Source organism: Homo sapiens, chromosome 2 (genome assembly GCF_000001405.40).
Source record: "Homo sapiens chromosome 2, GRCh38.p14 Primary Assembly".
Classification (NCBI taxonomy): domain Eukaryota; kingdom Metazoa; phylum Chordata; class Mammalia; order Primates; family Hominidae; genus Homo; species Homo sapiens.
The window spans coordinates 227,116,899-227,143,327 of NC_000002.12; the positions used below are offsets into that span (position 1 = coordinate 227,116,899).

General features: G+C 42.1%; 1 protein-coding gene across 28 annotated transcripts in view; it reads right to left on the bottom strand.

Annotated features, from left to right (window-relative positions):
- Positions 1-26,429, bottom strand: part of COL4A4 (collagen type IV alpha 4 chain) — a 197,129-nt gene that overhangs the window by 149,539 nt on the left and 21,161 nt on the right. For all 28 annotated transcript variants that reach the window (XR_922837.3, XR_001738602.2, XR_007069255.1 and 25 more), the window contains exons 4-7: positions 23,263-23,340; positions 4,116-4,250; positions 2,997-3,041; positions 1,747-1,863 (exon numbers count right to left, since the gene is read on the bottom strand). Coding sequence is in view for 25 of the 28 variants with exons in the window: in XM_011510565.3 (XP_011508867.1) it covers positions 1,747-1,863; positions 2,997-3,041; positions 4,116-4,250; positions 23,263-23,340 (375 nt within the window). In the remaining 3 variants the exon portion in view is untranslated. The remainder of the gene's footprint in view (positions 1-1,746; positions 1,864-2,996; positions 3,042-4,115; positions 4,251-23,262; positions 23,341-26,429) is intronic.

Sequence of the window (26,429 nt, forward strand, 5' to 3'; positions counted from 1 at the left end):
ACATGATGAGAAAAAGGCAAGTACTGTTGAAACTACTCTTGATAAGTTTTTACAAAGAAATAAAACACTTTGGTTCTCAATGCTTCAAATTACAGTATATTAAAGAAATATTTAGTTTTTTCATTTCCTTATATAACTGGCAAAGTTTCTAATGTTTTAACAAAACATTTTAAAAGTCATGGGACAATATTAATTTTCTCATCAGTTGATAAGGTTTCTTTGCGTGGTTTTTAGCTTGCCTGGTCATTCTTACTTTACTGTGCAAAGTGAGGGGTGTCTGTATAGTAAATGAGTCAAGGGGAAGTTGGTTGCTTTGCAAAGAGACCATTATGACAAACTTCAGGATTGTGGCTGGTACTGCATGCTATGTTAAAGTTAAAACTGAGAACCCTTGCTCTCTTGAATGCTCATGAATCTGTAGAATGAGGTTTGGCCTGATTTGAGGAGCTTAATAAATGTGCATTCACCAGACTGCACTTGAGTTTTCAAATGGCTGAGTTTGAAAGTAAAGGATGGTTGAAAAACTTAACAATGAAAGGTGGTGGATGTTCTTATTTGATACCAGAAGAAAAATGTGAGTATGGAAAATTCTTTTTGAGTTTAGTGTTCAGATCAGTTCCTCTAGAATCTGGAGCAAAAGGAAGACTCGTGAGTGACAGCAGAATGAATGATTATGGTGGTCATGCTAAGAAAACTTTCTAGAAAGAAACTTGTGAAATGATATTTTATTAAGGAAGGGAGAAATGCTAAAAAAAAAAAAATCACAGAAAAACAATTTGGAAAGGTCAAATAATCTCTGATCTTTATTTAAGTGAGAAAAAGAAAAAGAGAGAAAGAAAGGGAATATGGGGGGTAGCTCTTGCTCCAGTTATGTTTAAATGAAAGTCCAAAATTCTGAAGAAAAAAAAAGCTAAGAGCCGTAAGTTTTCCCCCAAGTGCTGGATACTATCAACTGTTGCTGGACATCCATTCCAAATCTTTTCTAATATATTTTTTTGCATTACAGGGGCTAGAAAGATAAAAACTACATTGCCCAGACTCCTTTATAGCTGGATGTGAATTAGGTTCCACCTAGGAGATGTGGAAGGCAGAAGTTTGGAAGAGATTCTCTTCCTGGTCTGTTGTTGCTGCCAAGCAGGAAAGCAGAAACTTGAGTGTTCTGTTTGCTAGTGTCTAGACGTGGGGTGACAGGCAGTGGTTACAGTGCAGTTACAGCTTCCTGACTCCGGATCTCAGCTAGCTGTGAACCTTTGAAATCAGTGGTCTCGTGTGGTCCTAAGTTTTACTCTTCCAACTATTATAATAAGTGCCAGAATCCCTGTAGCAGATCCCTTTCTGTTCAAAATACCTAGTGGGGTTTGTTTCTGCAATTAACCCTGAATGATAAACAATTTACATTTTGCTACCTGGTCTCTCTGCTCTTTTTTCCCTACTATCTATTCTCTTCACAGCAGCCAGAGACATCTTAATGAAACATCAATCAGATCATGTTGCTTCCTTCCTTAAAACCATCCAGTGCCTTTACCTAACATGGATAAGAAAATCTAGCCTCCTTCCATCATCCACAAAGTCCTGCATGTTCTAAGTCCTGCCTATCTCTCTGTCCTTATCCCCCAGCCACTCCCATTTGTTGACAATGCTCCAGGCACACTTGTATTAACTCTGTTTCTTGAATACATCAAGCCTGTTCCACCACAGGGCCTGTTCACTTAAGATTCCTGTTAAGATGAACTGTGGGTATCTTACTAGGGGGCCTCCTGGGCCAAGAGCTCCTCTTCCTCCTGGAAACCCTGGGTCACCTCTTGAGCCATTGTGGCCACTCATACCAGGTTTGCCTCTGGGTCCAGGAGGCCCTGGGTGCCCCTGCAGAAAACAAAATTATAAGTGAAGCATTTTTGCGAAAATATCATTACATAAAGGTTATGCAATATGAATACTCAAATTATGGCAATTGTGATTCACACATTTACTGTTTAGTTTTGTGAAACTTTCTCTTTACCCCAAAAGGCTACGTAGCATGTAAAAATAAAACCTAAATTTTTTTTAAGATAACAAATTTAAACTAATTTAGTTTGCAGTACTCTGGGAAATTGAGGAGGGGACCTTCCTTAAAATCCTTAGAAATACTATAATGAATTATAAAGCCCCCACATACCTCTTTTTTTTTTTCCATTCCATTTTCATATGAGAAATGGGAGTATTAAGCTCACTACAAATATTAGGACTCATCAGCAAATAAAAACATTCCTTATGAGTATGCATTAATTTCAAGAACATTGTACTTGACATAACAAGTATACCTAGCTCATATTTTGGAATTTTTTCTCTAACCTGTTAGAAAACGTTGCTTTCCAAGTAAAGTGTTTTGCTCTGGGAGTTATTGTACAAAATTTAAATGTAAACACCCTTTCATGCACTAAAATGAGAAAATATAAAAAGAGTTTGCTATGTATAATATATACCATGCACCATAACATATATATATCTTGCACCATATTTTATACATGTTATACAATATATAATTAACAGATATTATGATATATAAACTATATGTAAGATATAAGATACTATATAAAATATATGTAAGATAGCTATATATCGTATATACTATAGATTTTATATATGTAAAATATAAGATACATATTGTATAGTATACATACTATACATATCTTATATATACAATATATTTGGTGCAAAAGTAATTGTGGGGGATTGAAAGTAACAGCAAAAACCGCAATTACTTTTGCACCAACCTAATGTATTCTATATCTTGTATATCTAATATATATCTTTTATATATGTAGATATATATTATGGTGAAAGATATATATATATTACGTTGCTTGTGGTATATATAGCAAATATTTGCTATATATAATATATATATTGTGGTTTCTATAAATATATATTTTATGTATATATACATGTGGTTTTAAGGATTTTGATGAGTACTTCTGCCTTTTTGAAAAAAGTGGAGAAAATTTAGGGATACTTACAGGTATGCCATCTAAACCTGGAAATCCAGGAACACCAGTTGGACCCTAAAATCCCAGAAAATAAAACAAAGAGATAAAAATTATTAAATTAATAAGCTGATTTACTTGAAAATAGTAACAATTAATTACTCATCTTTAAACATGCTGAGCAGTCATTGTCACCTATTTTTTACATGATGAGTCTAAAAGCCAACATTTAAGAACCAATTCTTGTGCTTTTCTTTTGTACTTGGGAAAACAGCCTAGCAGTACTGATTTAAGTAAATCATTCAACATGCTGTGAACAGAAATCTAACACTCCGAATCTCGATCCTAGAGTAACAAACCCTTAACTGTGAACACAGGCAATTGATAGGATTATTTTTGCACATCTGCACTACCCAAAGTTGGGGTAGAATCTCAAGTGCTCATCAACAGGGAATAAACTATAGTTTTATTCATACTATGGCATATTATACAATGTTTTTTCAGGAATAAGTTCAATCTACATAGCCTGATAAGGAATGGTCTCTAAGACATATTGTTGAGTGAAAAGAGAAAACTCAGTGTGATGCATATAATTAATGTCATGTAGGTTTTTTAAAAAGCCATGAAACAATATAACTTCTCACTGGGTACACACATGTATTTAAAGGTCCAGAAGAGCATGCTCCTCTGGAAAGGGGCCAAAAATGAGGATGAATTATTGCAGAGGAGTTCAGGGACTTCATTTATTATAAGGTTCAAGTATATACTACTCGTGGTTATAAAACTCCAGTGCTGGCCAGGCACAGTGGCCAACGCCTGTAATTACAGCATTTTGGGAGGCCGAGGCAGGCAGATCACTTGAGGTCAGGAGTTCGAGACCAGCCTGGCCAATATGGTGAAACCCCATCTCTACTAAAAAATACAAAAATTAGCTGGACATGGTGGTATGTGCCTGTAATCCCAGCTACTTGGGAGGCTGAGGTGGGAGGCTCGCTTGAACCTGGGAGGCGAAGGCTGCAGTGAGCTGAGATCCCACCACTGCATTCTAGCCTGAGTGACAGAGTAAGACTGTCTAAAAAAAACAAAAACAAAAAATGGTGCAGTAGTGCTGGTGAGTCTTTCATGTGAATCTCCACATAAGATGTGGCTTACCTTATCTCCTTTGTCCCCTGCTGCTCCAGGAGGGCCGCGGTCCCCTCTCATTCCTTTCTCTCCTGAAAGCCCAATGGGTCCTGGGGCTCCCAGGGGTCCAATTGGACCCTGTGGCCCTGGTGGTCCTGGTGGACCCTGAGAAGGAAGATTAAAAAGAAATGGGGGTGCAATTCTTAATTACTGTCTTCTAACACAAACATATACTCATTCAGGCCTACAGAAGACTTGGAAATTAGATTTGCACAACTCTAATAATAGAAACAAATGGCTGGAGATGGTGGCTCACACCTGTAATCCCAGCACTTTGGGAGGCCGAGACAACGAGGTTCACTCGAGCTCAGGAATTCAAGACCAGCGTGGGCAACAAAGTGAGACCCCCCATCTCTACAGAAAATATAAAAATTAGCTGGGCATGGTGGCGTGGGCCTGTAGTCCCAGCTATTCGGGAGGCTGAGGTGGAGAATCACTTGAGCCTAGGAAGCCGAGGTTGCAGTGAGCTGATCGCACCACTGCACTACAGCCTGGGTGACAGAGACAGACCCTATCTCAAAAAAAAAAAAAAAGAAAAGAAAAGAAAGACAAGAAAAGATAAAAGGAAAAGGAAATGAAAGGAAAAACAAGACAAGAAAAGAAAATGATTGACTTAAAACATAAGAAATAGTGGCATTGCCCTTTTTAATCTGAATTAAGCTATATGATAAATTTCAATTACTGCACATGTGTATATGTATGTATGTGTGCAGTATGTATGTATGTGTGTGCACAGAAACACATATATCAAGTGATTATAGTTATCTTACTATTTTCATTCTGTCAATCAAATTTAGAGATCTTGGGCTTTTTAATGAAGCAAGAAACTAAAAAATCAAAGTTTTATTTACCTTTATGTTCGTGACACAAATAGAGTAAGGGAAACTGCCAGATCTTTTATTTACTTCAAATAACTAATGATTTGCCTGCCCTTTCGAAGGACAACATTTCTTTTTTGGCTGCTTTTATCTAATTTCTTAGTCATATTTTGGAATTAGTCTCCATGTCACATTAAATTTATGTAATCCAACTTTCCATGAATGAAAAGGCCACCTCTTGTTTTAAGTGAAGAAGCTTTATGGGGCTCCTACCTCAGAACCCATGTCTCAGGGCCCTGCCCCATCTCCCTTCTGGGGTCTGGGCCTGGCCAAGGCCAGCAGCACCATCTAAAGCGATATCCCGACCAGGTGCAGTGGCTCACACCTGTAATCCCAGCACTCTGGGAGGCCGAGGCGGGCAGATCACCTGAGGTCAAGAGTTCGACTTGCAATATTTCATACCTCTCAAAATTTTTGCAAAGATTTAAGAAAAATTATTTTATAACTTCTTGCTTCACAAAACAGCATGGATGACTGCATTAAATAAGCAAGTAAGTCTTGATGTATGGACAGAAAAGCTTGGCAGGGTTTAGGAGATATCTGCTCAGATCAGATGTCTTAGGTCTCCAGGGCTAATACAGGGTTGCCCCTTGGGAATGCAGGGCCCTGAGCAAAATATTTCTTGCAGAGTCGCATCTATATAAAAACTGGAGTCACCCGAAATCAGCATGCCAGCCCTACTCTGGCAACCCAATGTTGTGCAGTCCCATCAAGGAAATACTTCATGGGCAAATGGAAGTGTTCTGCTAGGCAGCCACCCTCCAAAACCAGGGCTCAACCAAAGGGCCCCAGACAATCGCATAGCATGAAGGCCAGAGCTCCTCATGTGGTCAACCCCACATTGGGTAGAAGGTCAGAGAGCACCTTGACGAGAAGAAACAGTAACTAAGACCCACCTGGTCCTGATCCACACTTGGGGTGTCACTTTGTTTATTTTTATTTATTATTATTATTTTTTTTTGAGACAGGGTCTCACTCTGTTTCCCAGGCTGGAGTGCAGTGGTGTGATCGCGGCTCACTGCAGCCTCCACCTCCCGAGTTCAAGTGATCCTCCCACCTCAGCCTCCCAAGTAGCTGGGATTACAGTTGCATGCCACCACACCTGGCTAATTTTTGTATTTTTAGTAGAGACTGGGTTTCAGTATGTTGGCCAGGCTGGTCTCGAACTCCTGACCTCAGGTGATCCGCTTGCCTTCAGCTTCCCAAAGTGCTGGAATTACAGGTGTAAGCCACCATGCCCAGGTGGGATGTCACTTTAGATAGTGCTGCTGGCCTTGGCCAGGCCCAGACACCAGGAGGGAGATGGGGCAGGAGCCCCGTAAAAATAGTGCAAGAACATTCACCACAGTGTTATATGCAATAGCAAGAGAAACCGGAAATCCACGGGAAAGGCACCAACCTGAGACTCAGTGAATAAATTAGGGTGCCTTCAAACAGGAAAGCCCTCACAGCCTGACTTCATCAGGGTGCTCCAGGAGCAACACAGAGGATGAGAAGTCAATGAGACCAACTTCTCCATTTGAGAAGTGAAGGAGGTGCAGGTCAGGAACAGAGCGCGACCCACGGAAGTGAAGGCAGCCAAGAAAGGGGCAGTTTCAGGTCAGTTATACTGTGGGCACCTGGGACTTAACCCTGAGGGGAGCCCACATCTCAGTGTTATCCCGCCCTAGGGGAAGGGAGTGGGGGTATTTATCTCCTTGGCTGAGGGCCCTGGTGATGGGTATGGAGTGCCTGCCAACTGTGCCTCCGGGGCTTTGGATAAAGCCCTGACAGACACAGATGCCAGCAGCTGAAGTCCCCCAGAGCCTGAGCACAGAAACAACAGGTCTGAGGAAGACGTGTGGGACCCCAAAAGCACGTGCAAGCTGCCAGCAAAGTCCATCTGTTCAGGCCGACATAGAACATCCTCCCCAAGCTCATGAGGGAGAAACAGAGTGAGCACCCAGGCTATGCGTCAGCCTCCTGGGTTTGAAGCCCAGGACCACACTGACTTGCTGTGTGACCTTGGGTATGTTTCTTAACCTCTCTGTTCCTTGGCATCTTTATCTGTCAATGGCTTATGAGCATAAAAAGAATAATGCATGTAATGGTGTTTAGCATAGTGCCTGGCATAACAAATGCTAACTATTGTTATTATATATTATTATTATAAATGGATAATTGTTAAAGGAGAAAAACAAGCCACAGAATAGTATGTCATATAATCCCACCAGTAGAGAAACAAAAGAACAGACACTTTCCCTAAATAGATGTTTATAAATGAACATTTCTAGGACATAAAAGAAACTGCATGTCTCATAAGTGAAAACACAAGCCAGGGCAATTTTACATTCTATGAGGTTGGTGCAAAAGTAATTGTGGTTTTTGCCTTTTAAAAGCAATGGCAAAGACCGCAATTACTTCTTCACCAACCTCATACTTTGTGTACATCTTACCATCAGCAGAAGTGATTTTATAATAAAGATTAGTTACCACTTCTTGCTCACCATTAAGTCATTAACTCGACAAACATGATTGACAACCTTTAACATCTGCCTAAATTTTACAAATCAAAACTATATTTTATAGGCATTTTCCCTTTTCTTCATGCTCATTCATCATTGTTAAATAGCTACTATTTATTGAGTATCCATATAAATGCTAAAAGCTTAGAATTTTAAAGGAAACTTAAATACATAAATATGTATTATGAAAAAGACAACAATAAAATACAAAGTGTAATTACGTGAGCACAAACCATTTGGGGTATTGTGAGGGTTTATCAACTTACAATAGGTGACTGCACAAATTCTAAACTACGATCTAAAAGTAAAAACAAACAATGACTTCAGAGCACCTTTCTGTCTAACCTGTGTTAGAAATAAGATTAATTAACATAATCTAAAAGCTCCCATGTTTTCTACATATAAAATTCAGGAAATAAATACTTTTTCATTAAGTTTGGGAATTATCTTTTCATCTTGCATGCAGTTTATACATAAACTTCCCCAAATTATCTTTTGTGAATGCAGTACTTTACAGTAATGTATTATTTAGATACATACTAAAATGCATGCTTGAATATAAAAGGGTAACTGAAAAAGAGAGAGCCAATTAACTGACTATAAATCTCTTTAATGTGTTTCATTTTAGGCATGCAATACCAAATCCAGTGAGCTAATGGGAAGTTTGCAGAGGGGAAAAAAGGCGTGGAAATATTTAACACAACAGTTAAGAATAATAAAACTCCATTTAGTATAGAAACGTGTGCTGATTTGAGAAAATGCCATATAAAATACTTTATTTTTTTTTTGTTTTTTTTCTTGAGATGGAGTCTCGCTCTTTCTCCCAGGCTGGAGTGCAGTGGTGTGATCTCAGCTCACTGCAACCTCTGCCTCCCAGATTCAAGCGATTCTACTGCCTCAGCCTCCCCCCGTAGCTGGGACCACAGGCGCGCGCCATCACACCCGTCTAAATTTTGTATTTTTAGTAGAGACTGGGTTTCACTGTGTTGGCCAGGCTGATCTCGAACTCCTGACCTCAAGTGATCCTCCTGCCTTGGCCTCCCAAAGTGCTGGGATTACAGGTGTGAGCCACTGCACCCTGCCCATATAAAATACTTCGGGAGGAAAAAAAAAAAGTAAAGCAGGGAATGGTTATTTGCATTATTGAAGGATGCTAACTCCTCTCTCTCACCATCTCCTCCCTCCTCCCAGCCTGCCACCCTGACCTCCCTGCACCAGATTTCTAGACAAGCTCTGTTCTTTCACAGCATTTGCGCAGGCTGTCCTGTCCCGGGAGCGCCCCCTCTCTGCCTCTGGCTGATTCATCTCTCAAGGCTGCAGTGGAAAGATTCCCCTGATCTCCTGCCCCTGTTCTGGAGAAGGAGATGCCTCTCCAAGGTGCCTCTGCAGTAACACTCTCACCCGTGACTATCATACCCTCTTCACTTGTCTGTCCCTCCCAAGCCCACAGCCACCCAACCTCTGCTCCTGGAGGGGAAGGCCGAGTCTAAGTGCCCAAGGTCATGATGGTAAGAAAGGCAGAGAACAACAAACTCTTTATAAAATAATAAGGTAGCCCACTTCTACCCCAAGGCAAGACAGGCGGCCCTCCATATCCCTGGCTCCCGTTCTGAGGACTCAACCGATCCAGATGGAAAATATTCGAAAATCAATAAACAGAAAAGAACAATACAACAAAAATTAAAAATTTTAAAATACAGTATAACAACTGTATACTGTATATAGCATTTACATAGAATTCTAAATAACCTAGAAATGATTTGTAGTATTTGGGAGGATGTGCATAGGTTATATGCAGATACTATGCAATTTCGTATCAGGGACGTGAGTATCCATGGATTTTGGTATCCAGAGGGGAACTGGAACCAATTCCTCATGGATGCAAAGAGATAAGTGTAAATGCTGTCTTATGTCTCTGAATTGTCATTCCTAGAACGTTGGTTAACAGTAATTATGCAAAATGGCAATGATTCCACAGCAAACTGTGCAGAGTACAACTTCACACCATGAGCAATGACTCTGAATAACAGAGATGTTGGTGTTTTTTGCTGTTGAGCTATAATGTAGGTGTTGTTATGCCTTTATTTCAACCATATGCAATGGCAAACACTACCCCTACTTTGCAAGTGGAAAAACTAACATAAATTTCTCCTTTTTTACAACTGTGAAGACTTTGTGATTTTGTATTTAGTGCGGTTTTTTTGTATTTTAATAAGTATTTTGCTACATGATAAATTTTTAAAGGAAATACATTAAACCTCAAATAACAGCACAAAATCTGTCAGAAAGCTGCTCACCAAAATTTCCCAAACACCAATCTTTGAAATAGTCATTTGTTAGTTCACCTAATTTGAGTAAATAATTTATTCACAGCATACAGAGAATAATTCTATTTTCTTTAAATTGTTTCATGTAAAAGAATGGGTCAGTAAAAGAACTTGTGCTTACAGGTAAATATGTAGGCTTACTTTTTCATAAGGTTATAATAGAATTCACTTCAGGACAAATAGACATAAGTAGCAGGCCCATAAAAGACATTTTTATAACTAGAGAATCATTAAATAATCACAGGAATTTTGCATCACTAAAAAAAGTCTTTAAAGAAATATTTCACCCAGTCCTAACCCTGCACTCTCCACCACCAACAATAACCTGCTATAAAACAAGTTGCTGTGCCAGAGTCAGTCTAGCAAAAAGAGAAAAACCACCCAGTGGAATGACTGGCTTTCAGATGCACAGCACCCCTGGGTTTTTTTGGCTACGTGCGCATGCAACTGCCTCTGCAGCTTCGAAGTCAGAAGACAGAGCCGCTGAATCCAGAAATGACAATCAGCTTGACAGCTGAGGAGACTTTGGCATGCCATGTGAAGCCACTAGATCATCTCTTTCTTTCTTTCTTTTGGTTCAAAGGCCAAATTGACACCGTATCATCAAACCTGTTATTTGCGCCTCCCTAGAGCAGCAGTAGGCTCTCGGGCCAGCTGTACAAATAAAGGATGAAGGAGATGAGAGCAGACACAGAACCGCCGGCCTCCCTGTCTTCTGAAGCCAGGGCATTCCTTTAGGATTTTGTCCCTTGTCGGTTGCCTAAGTCTAGAATGTCTCTTGAACAGGGCTAAGATAAAATTACTTTTATTTCATAACAACTTAGTAAAAGAGACCAAAAGATAAGAGGGTATGTACTGTACTTTTTAAAAACCAAAATCTTCAAGTCAGCCTTTTTGGCTGGCAATGATCTGGTTGCCCCAGGGACCAAAACATATGGGGAATGACAAAAATCTAAGAAATCGTTTGTCATTTTGTCAGTAGGAGCACTAGGAGAAACACTACAAATAAACAACTACAAATACAGGTACAGCCACACTTTTTCTGCCATGACTTCCTGCTCTTTCTTAGCCAGAAGGTATAAATAAATGCAAGGTATAAATCAGTGCAAGGTATAAATAAATGAAAAACTGAACAAACAGGAAAGATGCTTTTGTTATACTAATTATACAGATTTTCCAAATCACCCTTGAACTCTTAAGACCATGACATTTATCATAAAAAATGTCACAGGAAGGGGAAGGAATGTATTTATTAGGCTTGGTTATGGATTATGTGGCTGCCATGCTCCATACCTTACCTTATTTAATGCAACCAGCAACACTGAATAGTGTAGGCTATGATCCCCATATAGATGAAGGAAGGTGTAACTTATTCAGGCTCTCACACCTAGCAAGCTCAGATTCACACCTGGACCAGTCAGTCTCTCACCTAAACCTCTCCTCTTCCCCCTACCTGAGCCTGAGCCTAGCACAATGGAGGGTTCATCCACTAAATCACGCTCATGCCATGCCCGGAGTGACGTTTCAATCCCTTCAAGCCTCTTCTTATTTTTACACTTAAAAACAGTCTATCCAGATACACTCAATGTTCTTTTATAAAGTTTCTTTAGGACACAATGTTATTAATTGAATTAATTGAATACCTCTATTTTTTGTGGTTCTCAAATTTAACTTTCTGGTCCTATCCTATATCCCCAACTGTTTTCTAGAAACTTTCTTGCATCCTCTTCCCCTGTTAATTCATCTCACACATTGGGTCAAAGCTGAGCTCAGCCCTCTGCCTCCTCCTTCCCTGTCACTGAAGAGAGTAACTCTGTTCCTGGCATCATCTAAGCTCGCCATCCAGCTGCCAGCCTTGTCACCCTCTTTCCCTCATTCTCCATGTCCTTCTCATGACCAAGTCAATCACATCTCGATTTGAACCAAAACCCAAATCTCATGCTCCCATCTTACCTTCCTCCCACTGCCAAGCACCTGGCCCATGGTCTTGTCAACTCTCGCACGGGTTCCACAAGCACCAATCTCTCGCGTCTCCTTAACCCTGATCTTCTCCCCACTGCCCCATGCAACCGTCAATGAATCTTCTTCAGTCACCCCTTTCCTGGTGTCATTGCTTTCACCAACACCTGCAATGGGGACAATCTCCTTTCCGCACACCCGCCAACCTTATTCCCTGCAGTTTCCACACCCCCACCCTCTGCCCCAATCACACTTGTTTCCATGAGGTCAGAGTAGCCTTTCTTTACCTGTAGCTCAAATTCTGCCATCCCTCCAAAAATATTATAATCATAACAGTAGCAGTAATAACTGCCACCATGTACAAATCTAGACACAACACAACAGTGTGTTAATACATTCTTCTCATGGAATCCTTACCACCCTGTAAAGCAGAAAGTCATCCCTGTATCTACGACCTCATTCCCAAAGGAGGAAGCTGAGACTCAAAGACATGAGACAAAGGACCTGAGGCTGTTCAGTTCTGACTTCAAGGTTTCTGCTTCCATTTAACTGCAGTCCTCATCAATTTCACTCCCCTCCAAACTACCACATCTACCCTAAAATAATTAATGACTAAATAACGTCATCACCTATTTTTCATTATTGCCTTGTGCATGCTACTTTGCTTAATATCTGCTTGGGGTGATGTCTTCTAGTATACTTTTTTTTTTTTTTTTGAGACAGAGTCTCACTCTGTCACCCAGGCTGGAGTACAGTGGTGCAATCTCAGCTCACTGCAACCTCTGCCTCCCAGTTCAAGCAATTCTCCTGCCTCAGCCTCCCAAGTAGCTGGGATTACAGGCGGCCACCACCACGCCTGGCTAATTTTTGTATTTTTAGCAGAGATGGCGTTTTGCCATGTTGGCCAGGCTGGTCTCGAACTCCCGACCTCAAGTGATCCGCCCCCCTCGGCCTCCCAAAGTGCCAGGATTACAGGCATGAGCCACTGCGCCTGGCCTCTGGTACACTTTTTGCAGCCAGGGATTCATGAACGTTTTTATTTCCACCTCAGCATCTTGACCACTGTCTTGCACAGTATAAATTCTAAACATATACTCATGGATTACATGATCAATTAAAACTTCCACAATTAAAATGAACAAATAAATATTCTTTTAAATATATTCATCCTTTTTATGAGTCTCATTATTCTTAATCCATTATTATTATCATTCCTTTCTTTTCTAATGCTTCCCTCCTTTTTAAGGCTTGATTGTAATTCAACCAGTCAGCCACTGGGTGACACTACAACATCACTCACGAATCCTTTGGCAGTGCCTCCAGGAGCCTCCCCTATTGCAGGAAAAAGGCCCGTTAGGTGCCAGGAAGAGTTATCAAAATAAATAACAAAAGGTGTTATCAACAGTAGACAATCCAGAGACTGGACTTCAGTGGCAGAGTGTTTTCTTGTACCTTAAAGTAACCGCACTTGTTCACAATGAAATAGGGGCAACTGAGGGATTTAGCCTGGAGTAACACTCATTCGAGATTTTCACTGTGTTCTTAAGAGGCAGCATGGTGCAGTGGGAAGAACCCTGCACTGAGAACCAGGAGACATGGCTTTGCCACTGAACAACAAGGTCACCCCTTACTCCAGGCCATTGGAGAAGGGTTTTCCCATTTTAAAACATGGCATCTGCGTCTTCTGCGGGGCCTAAACAAGGCTAAGGGCTCCTGGTAAGCTCCCTGACTAGCTCTAACCCACTCAACTCTCCCTCCTTCTTGCCTGCCCTGTTCTCCAGCATCCCTGCCCCTTGGCCTTGCCTTGATTTGCTCCCACCTGTGTCTTGTGGCCCCCTCTTCCTCCTGTTTGGAGTCTCCCCCAGAGCTCTTCAGGGCTGCCCTGGCTTCTTGTCACTTTCTCTCCAGCCAAAGCATCCATTTCCAAGTGGTCAATTTCACCCACAGACAATCCCTCCGTGTCCCTCCCTAACCCAGACCTTTCTTTCTGAGTGCCAGTCACATATCCAACTGACCACAAGCGCTGCAAGTCCAAACCTGGACTCATGATCGCCCCTGAAACGTGCTTCCTGAGCGGGCACCACTGTCTGCACAGCAGCTTACACCTCTCCTGGGAGGCCCGCATGCCTCTAACTGCCTGCCCCAACTGCGCCAGGTGAGTCTCCTCATTCCTATCAAGTCTGCCTCCCAAATATGTCCACCTCCCATCCACTTCCCTACCCTCCACACTCACCCCCTCGCTAAGCCACCAAGACTTCCCACCTGCATGACTGCAGCAGCCTCATAACAGGTTTTCCCTAACATTACCTACCTGCCACCAGCCACATTTTCCAAACAGCACCAGATCATCTTATAACATAAATCCAATCTGCTTCTTCCCTTCTTAAAATCTTTCAAAAATTTCTTATTATGCAGGAAAATCTGTCTGCTTTTTTTTTTTTTTCTTTCTTTCTTTTTTTTTTAAGATGGAGTCTCACTCTGTCGCCCAGGCTGGAGTGCAGTGGCACGATCTCGGCCCACTGCAGCCTCTGCCTCCCAGGTTCAAGCAATTCTCTGCCTCAGCCTCCCCAGTAGCTGGTATTACAGGCACCCACCACCATGCCCAGCTAATTTTTGTATTTTTTTAGTAGAGACAGGTTTTCGCCATGTTAGCCAGGCTGATGTTGAACTCCTGACCTCATGATCCACCCACCTTGGCCTCCCAAAGTGCTGGGATTACAGGCATGAGCCAACCTACCCTGCCCCTGTCTGCTTTTTAAGCTGCATTGCATGCTGCCGGGTTCCTTACCCACTGTGGTCAAATTTCTCTCTAGTCACGTTTCAGTCCCTCAAACATGCTAGCCTGTCTCCTTCCCACTTCAGGGCTCAAGCGGAGGCTGTTCCCCTTGTCTGAACACTTGTAGGGAGCTGAATGGCGCCACAAAAAAAGATACGACATGTCTTAAGCCCAGAGCCTGTGACTATTGCCTTAGACGGCAAAAGACCTGATAAAGTGAAGGTTCTTGAGCTGAAGAGTTTCTCCTGGGTGATTTAGGTGGGCCCTAAATGCTACTACATGCACCTTTATAAGGAGGACGCAGAGGGAGATTGATGTGGACACATAGAGGAGCAGGCGATGTGAAGACAGAGGCACAGACTGAAGTGAGGCCGCTAGGAACCAAGGAATGCCAAGGACTGCTGACACCAGAAGGAGTGGAAGGAGGCAAGGAGCAGGTTCTCCCCCAGAGCCGTGGAGGGAGCCTGGCAGTGCCAGCAGCTTGCTTTTGGACTTCTGGCCTCTAGAGAATACATTTCTGTTGTATTAAGCCACCATGTATATGGTCATTTGTTACACAGCCATAGAAACTGACAGAAGGCTTCTCCTTCAGACTGTGGCTAGGAGAGTTCTAATTCCACCCGGTTCAAGCTCAAGTGCTAACCCACAGCTCCCTGTGCCCTGACCCCGATATGCTCCCATGCAAAGCAAGCCAGGGCACCAAATTGTCCACCTGGGGAGGGAGCAAGGATTTTTGTCTCATCTTTTCCCTGATGTGACTTGAGCACCTCAAACAGTGCCTGGCGCTCCTCAGGCAGCCAGAAATAGTGGCCGGAGGGGAGTCTTGTCTGTCTCTCGGTTTGGCTCTGAGCTCCAGGCTGCAGGGACTTTCTTCTTTACGACTGAGGCCTCCATGGCCTGGTTGGATGCCTGGCATGTGGCAAGTGCTCAATGGTTACTTGCCGAATGAATGGAAAGCTATTATTATTGGTATTATTATTCGTTGCCATTAAGATTGTATGATAGAGGACGAGTGCAGTGGCTCTTGCCTGTAATCCCAGCACTTTGGGAGGCCGAGATGGGCAGATCTCTTGAGGCCAGGAATTCAAGACCAGCCTAGTCAACATGGTGAAATCCCGGCTCTACTAAAAATACAAAAATTAGCCGGGCATGGTGGTGTGTGCCTGTAATCCCAGCTACTTGGGAGGCTGAGGCAGGAGAATCGCTTGAACACAGGAGGTGGAAGTTGCAGTGAGCCAAGATTGCACCACTGCACTCCAGCCTGGCAACAGAGCAAGACTCTGTCTAAAAAATAAAAAATAAACAAAAAAAAGATTGTGTTATAGAGAAATAAGCACCTTGGAGACAGCTGTTTGTGGATTTCTTGGCAAATTATTGAATATGGTTGTTTGAAAGGAGAAATTTGCTTTTATTTCCTAAAACCATTATAATTCCTCATCTTAGCTAATTAGTCAGACGTTACATTTGTACTAAAGAGGTATTCTTATACTAAGTGCTTTCTATTTTCCTATATAGTAGATTATTTCCCCCAAACTGTGCCCTGCTTTTGAGTGCACCTGTATCGCTAGCCCTTATTTCTTGCCAATAACAAGTTCAGTGTGGCCCTGCATTTGCTGAGCTCCGCACCCAGCCTGGCCTGGGTCATGCTGGGTCACACAGTTTGGCAGTTGTTGCTGTGGAATTGAACTCCACATGAGGAGACCAAAGGCCCTGTTGCAAATCACTGACAAGTTAATGAGGTGACTGACCAGGGCAGATGTGCCCAAAACTGCCTTCAGACCCAAACCACAACTAGGATTCCCAGGGGAGAGTCTTGTTATGTTAGCTCTATACGTAGACTCGGTCTGTTTGGAAAATAGGTAATACATTCTACAGTGTAGTAGGCAGATAAAAGCTTCTTTTCTCTCTTTTCTCATGCACGGATGCTGGATTTAAAGAGATATTTCTCAGTCTACTGAAATGATGTTAGTTAGTTGGAGTTATTTTCCCATGTAGACATCAGCTGCTGCTGCTACTTCTACCACTATAATTTATTAATACGCCAAAAAGCATTAAATGATAGGCAGGGATCCTTCCTTTACTCTCTAGGCCTCCCAAACCCTGTCCAGAAATCCTTACTCAAGGCCAGGCGTGGTGGCTCACGCCTGTAATCCCAGCAGTTTGGGACGCTGAGGTTGGCAGATCACCTGAGGTCAGGAGTTTGAGACCAGCCTGGCCAACATGGCAAAATCCCATCTCTACTAAAAATACAAACATTAGCCAAGTGCGGTGGGGGTGCCTGTAGTCCCAGCTACTCGGGAGGCTGAGGCAGAAGAATTGCTTGAACCCAGGAGGCAGAGGTTGCAGTGAGCCAAGATAGCGCCACGACACTCCAGCCTGAATGAGAGAGACTCCATCTCAAAAAAGAAAAAAAAAAAGAAAAAGAATTTAAAAAAGAAAGAAATCCTTACTCAAGCCTACACAGATCATCCTATAGCTGAAGATTCAGGCTTTAACTTTTGCAAGTTTTTTATTCTTCAGAAATCAAGGTTCCTGTTCTTGACACAGGGGGGACACTTTAACAAGCTAAGCCCACATTATAAACTGGAAGCTGGTGGGCTGAATTTTACTGGGGAGTGTGTTTAATTGCTAGGCACTGGGTTTTTTAAAAATTCTGAATTCTGATGCCTTTAAATGACAAATGCACCGTCCAGCTCCTAGTAGCCCCATCCTGAGCACCTCCTCTCCCCATTACTACATTCAGGTCACCAGCTGTTCCCCAAGGACATCTGAGTCTGCCATCTCTGACAGGGACTTCATTTACCAGGGAATTCTCCAGTAGTAACAAAATGAGCCAGAGAGTTCTTGGAGGAGGAAGATATAGCAAGAAGAACAAAAAAGCAAACCCAACAAGCTCAGGGGTTGAAAGACCACCTTTGCCAACTTCTAATTGTCACTGGAACTTGTTTACATCAAAATGGAACACAATTGACTTAAGTGAACTTTGGGGACATAAAAATTATTGTTCTGAACCATGTATCAGGCTACAGGTAGAAAATGTCCTAAAACACAGCTGTGTGAGTGATAGTGAGACTGAGTTCTAGAACTTTGAGTGCAAGTAATTCAATGAAATGAAAAATGTTAACAGTAATTAAACTTTCCCAAGTAAATTCCATTTTTATCATGGAATGCAAGCTCTTAGGAGTATAAGGGATGAGTGAATGAGATCGCAGGGAAAATACTTGCAGTTTTTTAGTGATTTGAAATTCTCCGAAGAAAGAATGACTCACTCACGTTTGATTTTGGTTTTCAAACCAAAAAGACTAAGACAATTCTTGACATTTACGTCATTTGACCTCCGTGTTTGTAAAACCACCACATCATAAGGTTTTGTTAATTTTGCAATTGTTATACTCCCTTGAATAGAAAACAATATGGGGAAAAAACTGTGGACAGTGTCTTTATTATCATCCTTGTTACTAAAGTATAACTTATAAAAGGTCCTCATTCTAATTTGTAAGGACATGTAATTTTCCCTGCAAGGAGCCCACCAGTAAACACAGAGAGCTTCCTCCCTTGAAACTGATAAGGAATAATAGAAAATCCTGCCTGATATACCTCATTCACACCCTTAAAGATGGGCCATAGTGAGGTTCATGGAAATGTTAGGGCCTGGTCACAAGTCATTTGGGAAACCAAGTAAATAGCTGTCATATGTGAAAACCCACGCCCCATATCACAGAACCATGGGCTGCTAGAGCCGAGGGGACCAACCAGCCCCCTCTAGGACAAATTCTCACATCCCAGGTGAGGGCTCTGAACCCGAAAAAGATCAAGGAGGTAAGCTCCAGTCTCCTCCCCTCAGCCTGGAGCTCTTAGGGTGCCATTGTACCTTAAAAGGTCCAAGAGCTGCAACCCTCTTATTTGTTGCTGCTGCTCAAAGTGCTTATTTCTGACCCTACCTGAAATTCACAAGGGAATTTGAACTATGTGAGATTACTCATTTCCTAACAGGCTTAAATGCTAGTGTGTGGGGAGAAAGTCTAGGGTTGGGGAAGAGGCTCCCCACTAATTCTGTCCCCCTCTTCTCTTGGGTATGGGAGATCCCCCTACAGAGTCCCTGCATGCTGGCCTGACCACCAGCTCAGCTCCCAAATCCTGTCCAGGCTGGAATCTATTTTTTTTTTTCTTTTGAGACAGAGTTTTACTCTTGTCACCCAGGCTGAAGTGCCATGGCGAAATCTCAGCTCACTGTAACCTCCGCCTCATGGGTTCAAGCAATTCTCCTGCCTCAGCCTTCCAGGTAGCTGGGATTACAGGCGCCCGCCACCATGCCTGGCTAATTTTTTGTATTTTTAGTAGAGGTGGGGTTTCACCATGTTGGCCAGGCTGGTCTGGAATTCCTGACCTCAGGTGATCCACCCACCTCAGCCTCCCAGGGTGCTAGGATTACAGGCGTGAACCACCATGCCTGGCCCCTGAATTTTAGTTTCTTAATTTATGTGTATTAACTGCCTGTTGTGTGCTATCTACTGTGATAATCTCAAAGTACAAAAAATGACCCCCAGTTTACAAAGGGGAGAAGTGAAGGTAGGCAAACTATATTTCAAGGGTGTCCACAGTGGGTCAGGAATCAGGATCAACGTTTTACTTGTGTTCTCATGACCACCTTCAAGAAGTGTATGCTTGCAATCTAATCAATAAAGTCGGGCACATTCACTCTCAAATCCAGCCAGAGCTACAGAGCAGGGCAGGACAAGTACAGCAAAAGAGAAGCAGGTAAGCAGCTTGCTAGGGGGCTCTGGCAGGGAGACATCGACACTGACTGTGATGAGCAGAAAGGCCTTGTGGTTTGGCATCTCCACTGAGCTCCTTTGAGAAGAACAGGAAAGACAGAGGCAGAGTGCAAGTTGGAAGGCACTCAGAAAAGGGCAGAGAAGTGGAAATATTCAGATTATCTTCAAGAGTGAATGAGTGGCCCAACTGCTGCAGCTGGAGAGGGTCAAAGGGGCAGTAATGGGGATTACAGATGAAAACTCATGCTGGGGCTAGACTGTGAGCCTCCAGCAGTACAGTGATGGGGCTGGACTTCATTCTGTAGACATCAAAGGAGGCCCCCCTTGATTCTCCACCTTAGATTGTTCCATCTCCACCTCTAACTCTAGCTCTCCTCTCCAGTTAAATTGCGAACCATGGCCGTTCCTCAGCACAGAACCAGCCTTGCCTGTCAACGATTGCTTTAGACATAGCAGTTTTGATGTGGGGTTTGATGAAACTACTACCTACTACTACCTACTGCTACTACGGGCATTAACCTGTAAGAGAGGAACACTTTCCTTCTTAGGAATAGCCCGCTATGCCACTTGAAGGCTGTGCAGCCTCAGGCAGATCCCTCAAGCCTTAGGAATTTGGTGTGTTCCTATTCTGATAGTCCCCCGTGAGCTGTCACTGCAGCTCAGAAGGTTGGCCGGCTGCTGAGGACTTGACAGTGCTACTTTCCCAAACCACCTTCTGTTACGCACAAGTCACACTCCCAAATCCTCGCTGGAAGATGTCACAACGACTTGCAGCCTTCCCATGGAAAACCCATTCATCTCAGGAAGACCACAGGCTCCCTGTTGTGGCACACACAGCTCTCCTTGACCACGCAGACACAAAGACACACACAGCAGAGTGCCGCTCAGGACTGGGAGCCTTCCCTATCCAGAGACTGCTTAGAGGGTGGAAAGTACACCATCTACACATGCAATGCCTTGCGCTTGTTTAACAGCCCAAGGACATAGAAGAGAAGGACCAATGGGGGTACGTGCAAGGAAACCCAGGCTTGGTCAGAGTCAAGTGGCAACCCAAGTTTACAAAGTGATGCTACAACCCAGCAGTTGGTACCTTCGTGTAATGATCTTTCCACGATCATGGAGCAAATGCTGGGTTTGAAGCCAGACACGTGGGTGTGATTCCTGGTTCTCCTGCATCCTAGCAAGTTATTTAGAACTGTTGGGAATTTAGTTTCCTTGCTCTGAAGGGTGGAAATAATAATACTTGCATCACAGAGCAGAGGTGAGATTAGAACAGGGCTTCTCAATCTTGGCACAGTTGGCATTTGGGATGGATAATTCTTTGGTGTGGGGACTGTCCTGTGCATTGTAAGATGTTGAACAGCACTTCTGGTCTCTACTTGCTGGAAACCAGTAGCATCCCCTTTTCTGCTAAAACAACTCTCAGCCTCATTCACATTGGGAGACCCACTGAGGTGCCTTTATCAAAGCAACTGGTCCTCTTTGTTTTGGGGTCGGCTCATCTCTTTCTTGCCACAGGGCTGATCAAATCTATTTATCTTGGTCCTGAAGCTCAAAGTCATAAAATTTAGAGGCACTGAGGTTTTTTTTCCTTTTTGCATTTGTACAATCTTGGTATATTTACATTAATAACCTCACAGAAAAGCCAGGCTTTTTTTCTATATAATGTGCACATTTACACAAAAAAGCTAAGGACTTTGTTTTCTTGAAGCTTCACTTTTAAAATTATATTATGAAAGTGGCTCAAGACCGGCTTCACACAGTGGCTCATGCCTGTAATCCCAGGACTTTGGGAAGCCAAGGAGGGAGGATCACTTGAAGCCAGGAGTTTGAGAACAGCCTGAGAAACACAGCAAGACTCCACCTCTACAAATAATAATAATAATAATAATAATCAAAAAAATAATTAGCCTAGTGTAGTGGCATGTACCTGTAGGCCCAGCCACTTGGGAGGTGGAGGTGGGAGGCTCACTTGAGCCCAAGAGTTTGAGGTTGCAGTGAGCCAAGATCATGCCATTGCACTCCAGTCTGGGTGACAGAGTGAGACCCTGTCTAAAAAAGAAAAAGAATAGAAAAGAAAAAGGTCTCTGGCCTGGTGCAGTGGCTCACGCCTGTAATCCCAGAACTTTGGGAGGCCGAGGCTGGCGGATCATGAGGTCAGGAGATCGAGACCATCCTGGCTAACACAGTGAAATCCCGTCTCTACTAAAAATACAAAAAATGAGCCAGGCATGGTGGCGGGCGCCTGTAGTCCCAGCTACTGAGGAGGCTGAGGCAGGAGAATGGCGTGAACCTGAGAGGCGGAGCGTGCAGTGAGCCGAGATCGCGCCACCGCACTCCAGCCTGGGTGACAGAGCGAGACTCTGTCTCAAAACAAAAAAAAAAAAAAGAAAAAGCTCAAGATAAATTCTGATGAACAAAATTTTTGATGTACTGAAGAAGGAACAAAGCAGTTTAAGCATCAGTGGATTTGTCATAACTTATGCTCAATAAGGTAGCTGCTCCCAGTAAAATAGGCCAACAAAGGAACCCATTGCACACCTGCTGTGTAAAGATGAAGCAATACCATGAGAGAAATATGTTGTCCCTTCTCTTGTGGGTAGTGTTTTGTGTCCTTGTAGACTCCTCTTTACTGTACTGTGCTTTTTGAATGTCATGCACAGCCCCCTACAATTGACTTGAACACTGTTACAGACTGAATGTTTGTGGCCCCCAAAATTTATATGCTGAAATTCTAACCCCCAAGGTGATAGTAGGAGGAGATGGGGTATTTGGGAGGTAATTAATCAGAGCGGAGTAGTCATGAATTGGATGAATGCCCATATAAATGGGACCCCAGAGGACTCTTTCTCTCCACCATATGAGGATACAGTGAGAAGACACCATCTGCACACCAGGAAGCAGGCCTTCAGCAAGACACTGGATCTGCCAGCACCTTGTTCTTGGGGTTCCCACCCTCCTGGACTGTGAGAAATAAATTTCTCGTAAGCCACCCAGTCTATGGTATTCTGTTACAGCAGCGAGAATGGATGAGGACACATTTCAAAAGAATCATTGATCTGACTCAAAAATTGTCCCAAACTTCTATACCACACTCCTTTCTTGTGAGATTGTGGGAGTAATTGTAATTAGAGAATTGTTTGATCTAATACTTTATCACAAATGAATTAGTGGGCTGCTGTCAGAACATGGGGGAGACATTAACAAATGTTCAAGAGACCTGACAGACAGTAACCAAAGAGGTTCTTGGCTTTGCAGAACAGAGAATCTAGCGTGGTCATCAACGCAAACGTTCTGGGTGGACTTGAGCAAGACACTAACTTTCTTGGGCTTCAGTCTCCTGCACTGCAAACATGGTATCCTAAGAAGGTTCTTACGAGAAGTCAATGAGCAGAAGCATTTTGAACTCATAGAACAGTGCCTGGCACATAACAAGCATACAAAAAATATAGCTATCACTTCATTAGAACACTGTGCCACTTGTTTCAATAGCGACAATCCAAGAAAGAGTCCTGTGGTCAACTGTCTGGAAAGACCAAACAAACTTGGATTTTTTTCTACCAACTTCAGTACCTCTCAGAGCCTTTAAAATGCCATATTTCAGGATGGTGACCCAGTAGTTACCATTTCACACCAGGACCCTTCCTCCACAGGACAATTCACAAGACTAGTGTCATATAAAACAATGGGTGAATCGCAGCTTCCTAGACTATCTTCTAAGCCTGGACTGTCTAATATAGTTGAGATTGCTATTAGAATGTGAAAAACTTCGGCTGTGAAATACATAAACATTATCGAGGACTAAAATTTGCCAAGAATCTGGGATTACTTTATATTAAATATTCACAAGTTCTCAAAATTCAGGAATGCTGCCCATGTTGGTCTTTACATCACTTACCCGAGACCCCTTTTCAGGAACACAGTGGCAAACAGAGCAATCTCTTCCTCCACAAGGACCAATGTATTTCTTTCCACTCTGGAAAGTGAAGCATCTTATTTAGTATACCAGTACTCATCGTTTAACTACGTGCATAACACATACATTATAACAAGCACTCTTGGTTTACCTTTGACTCCATGAGAAGAAAAGACTAATCATGACATATAAAAAGATGAAGAACTTACACAGTAGCTTAATAATAAGGAGGGTTGATTATATGAGCAAGAAGCTTCCAAACTGAGGATGCTGAAGGAAAATAAGTATCCTTCTAAAGTCGTTTGGCTTTAACTGGAATCTTCTGCAGTTTCTCCCTTTCGGTAAGACTTAATTTATTAAGTTGTGAACAGTCTTAGAGTGTAAACTATGTGGTTAGGCAATCCATGCATAGACAGTGGAGTCTAGTTTAAATGAAAAGCTTGTTTTTTTTTCAGGGCCTGTTTTGCTTTATCTTCAAGATCAGCTACAGTGTATCTCCTCCCTCATCAAACTGTCCTTCCTAGGACAATTCTTCTGTCCCATCCTTGGGCTTAAAATTAAAATTGTTGTTCCTACAATTTGCTGAGACTCCAAGATGGTTTCTCTAATGTGTTTCTCAAACAGAAACTCCTGAACTTGAATAATTTGGACCTTTTCCCCACTTTTAGCAAACTTTCCAACACTGTCTTTAGAGCATCACACACACACACACACACACACACACACACACACACACACACACACCCTTTAGGAAGAATCAGCTCCTTGTTCTCATGAATCCTAATCACCTATATCCAGAGTCATCATCCACTTCCATATAAAAGCATAGTCCCAGAGTACTATTTCCATAGGCAGATCCCTTAACAGCAATCACCATGATGCACCTGCAATGAACATGAGCACTGAGCGTGCATTCCCAGGCTGGGCCTGCCAGTGGGGAGGGAGTGGTGGTTTAGGCCCCTGTGTAGTGGACAAATCACCTCTAGGTGCTAGGACCCAAGGGCATGGATAAGAATATCAAGAAAGCATCAGAGAAAAGGTTTGCCTGGCTCATGATCTGGCCTAGCTGTCATTGCAACATTTATACATTGGCCATACAATTTTATGATTGATCAACCTTTTTAAACTTAAGGCTGTAAACTCAAGCCTTTAGACCACTGTATGATGGGAAAACATAAAACAATAAAACTAATATTTATAGTCCCATGGAAGACATATATACATATGTATGTGTGAATGCATTGAATATATATGTGTATATGTGAATATTCATGTACGTATACATATATATGAACAGGTATATGTGTATGGGAGGGAAAAGAGTCTAATCAGCATATATTATTTTTCTTTTCACTCGCACAGTTTAGGCTTATTTTTTGGAGAAAAATATGCTCAGACACAATCCAAAAGAAAATATCTTTAAGCATTAATTTTAAAAAGACATCTTTGTAAACAATATTCTCATGGATCATTAAAAGCATACAAGAATTTGAAGCTTGACGAGAGTCAAGCGATTAGATAGTTTAAGTTTAAAAATGTATTTGAAGTTTCAGAAATATATGCCTCTTGAGTTTTGAGTAATGTTGTTATCTATAAATGCAGAAATATTAAGTTAAACACCCTGATAAGGTTAAAAAAAAAATTAAATGCCCGGGCCCAGGTCGGGACAGCATGAAAGCACTTAAAGTAACTAGATTGAATACTTGGGTTCATTTAAGGTTGGGCTTCATTACTATGTGTTCGCTGAAATATCAAAACAACTAGAGGAAAAAAAATAAGGTCAGCTGATTAGATGGCTTGATAATAAGGGCAAGTTTGTTATTATTATTTCTTTGCTTATTTTTGCCAAACATCACTGAGATGTTTGCAGCAAAACTATGTTTCAGGAAAGAATCACTTTAAAATAGATTAGTAGATTCAAAAAAAAAAAAAAAAAAAAACAGGAATAGTCACATATCAAGGTTTGACTTGGATCAGTAAAAGGAAAAAGCAAGAGGTGATTTTAGCCTCTGCAAAGTTATTCTACGTAAACATTCCCCAATAAATATTTAAAAGAGGAGGGTGAAATTATAGAGGTCTGCACCTCAAAAATAGATTGTATAAATTCATTTTAAAAGATAAACACAATATTTCAGACAATTAAACATTCAAAGTACGAACGACATTCACTGGGAATACATTCACGCTCTCGGAAACTAATGTTACTCTTCTTCAAAGAGAAAAAAGGAAAAGTCACTATCTGCCTTATCTCAGATATTGTTAAACATATATTTGTCACATAGAAAAGTTCAAAGGCTGGCTGCGGTGGCTCATTCCTGTAATCCCAGCACTTTGGGAGGGCAAGGCTGGCAGATCACTTGAAGCCAGGAGTTCAAGACCAGCCTGGCCAACATGGTGAAACCCCGTCTCTACTAAAAATAACAAAAAAATTAGCCAGATGTGATGGCACATGCCTGGAATCCCAGCTACTCAGGAGGCTGAGGTGGGAGAATCACTTGAACTGGGAGGCAGAGGTGGCAGTGAGCTGAGATCGTACCACTGCACTCCAGCTTGGGTGACACAGTGAGACCCTGTCTCACAAAAAAAAAAAAAAAAGTTCAAACAAAGAAGTTATTAATGTCTTATACTTGTAATTCCATCTTCTTTTTTGAAAAACAAATAATATAGACACATAATTTTAAAAATTCAAATGGTGCCAAAGAGTGTAACAGGAAAACAAATGTCCTCTTTCAACACTGGCCCCAAGTTCCCTCCTATACAGGATAATTTTTTTCAAATAGGTGTTTGGGCATTAATAAGCATATTCATACAATGACCTCATTCACACACACACACACACACGCACACACAGAGGCAGATGAGCACATGGGCACACAGGCACAGATGTGTACAAACACACTTTTGGTGATTTGGACTTGTTTTATTTTTATCCAAATGGTGGATTGCTCTATATTTTGCTGTTTTCACATAATTGAAAGTCTTCAAAATCATTCCAAAGTAATACATATGCCTATCCATCAGACCACATACCATACTTTGTTTAACCAGTTGTTGTTGAAGGAAATTTAGGGAGCTCCCTTCTGTCTATACTGAACACTACCCTGAAATTAGTACTCTTGGGCATATTTATCTGTATGCATGAATCAGAA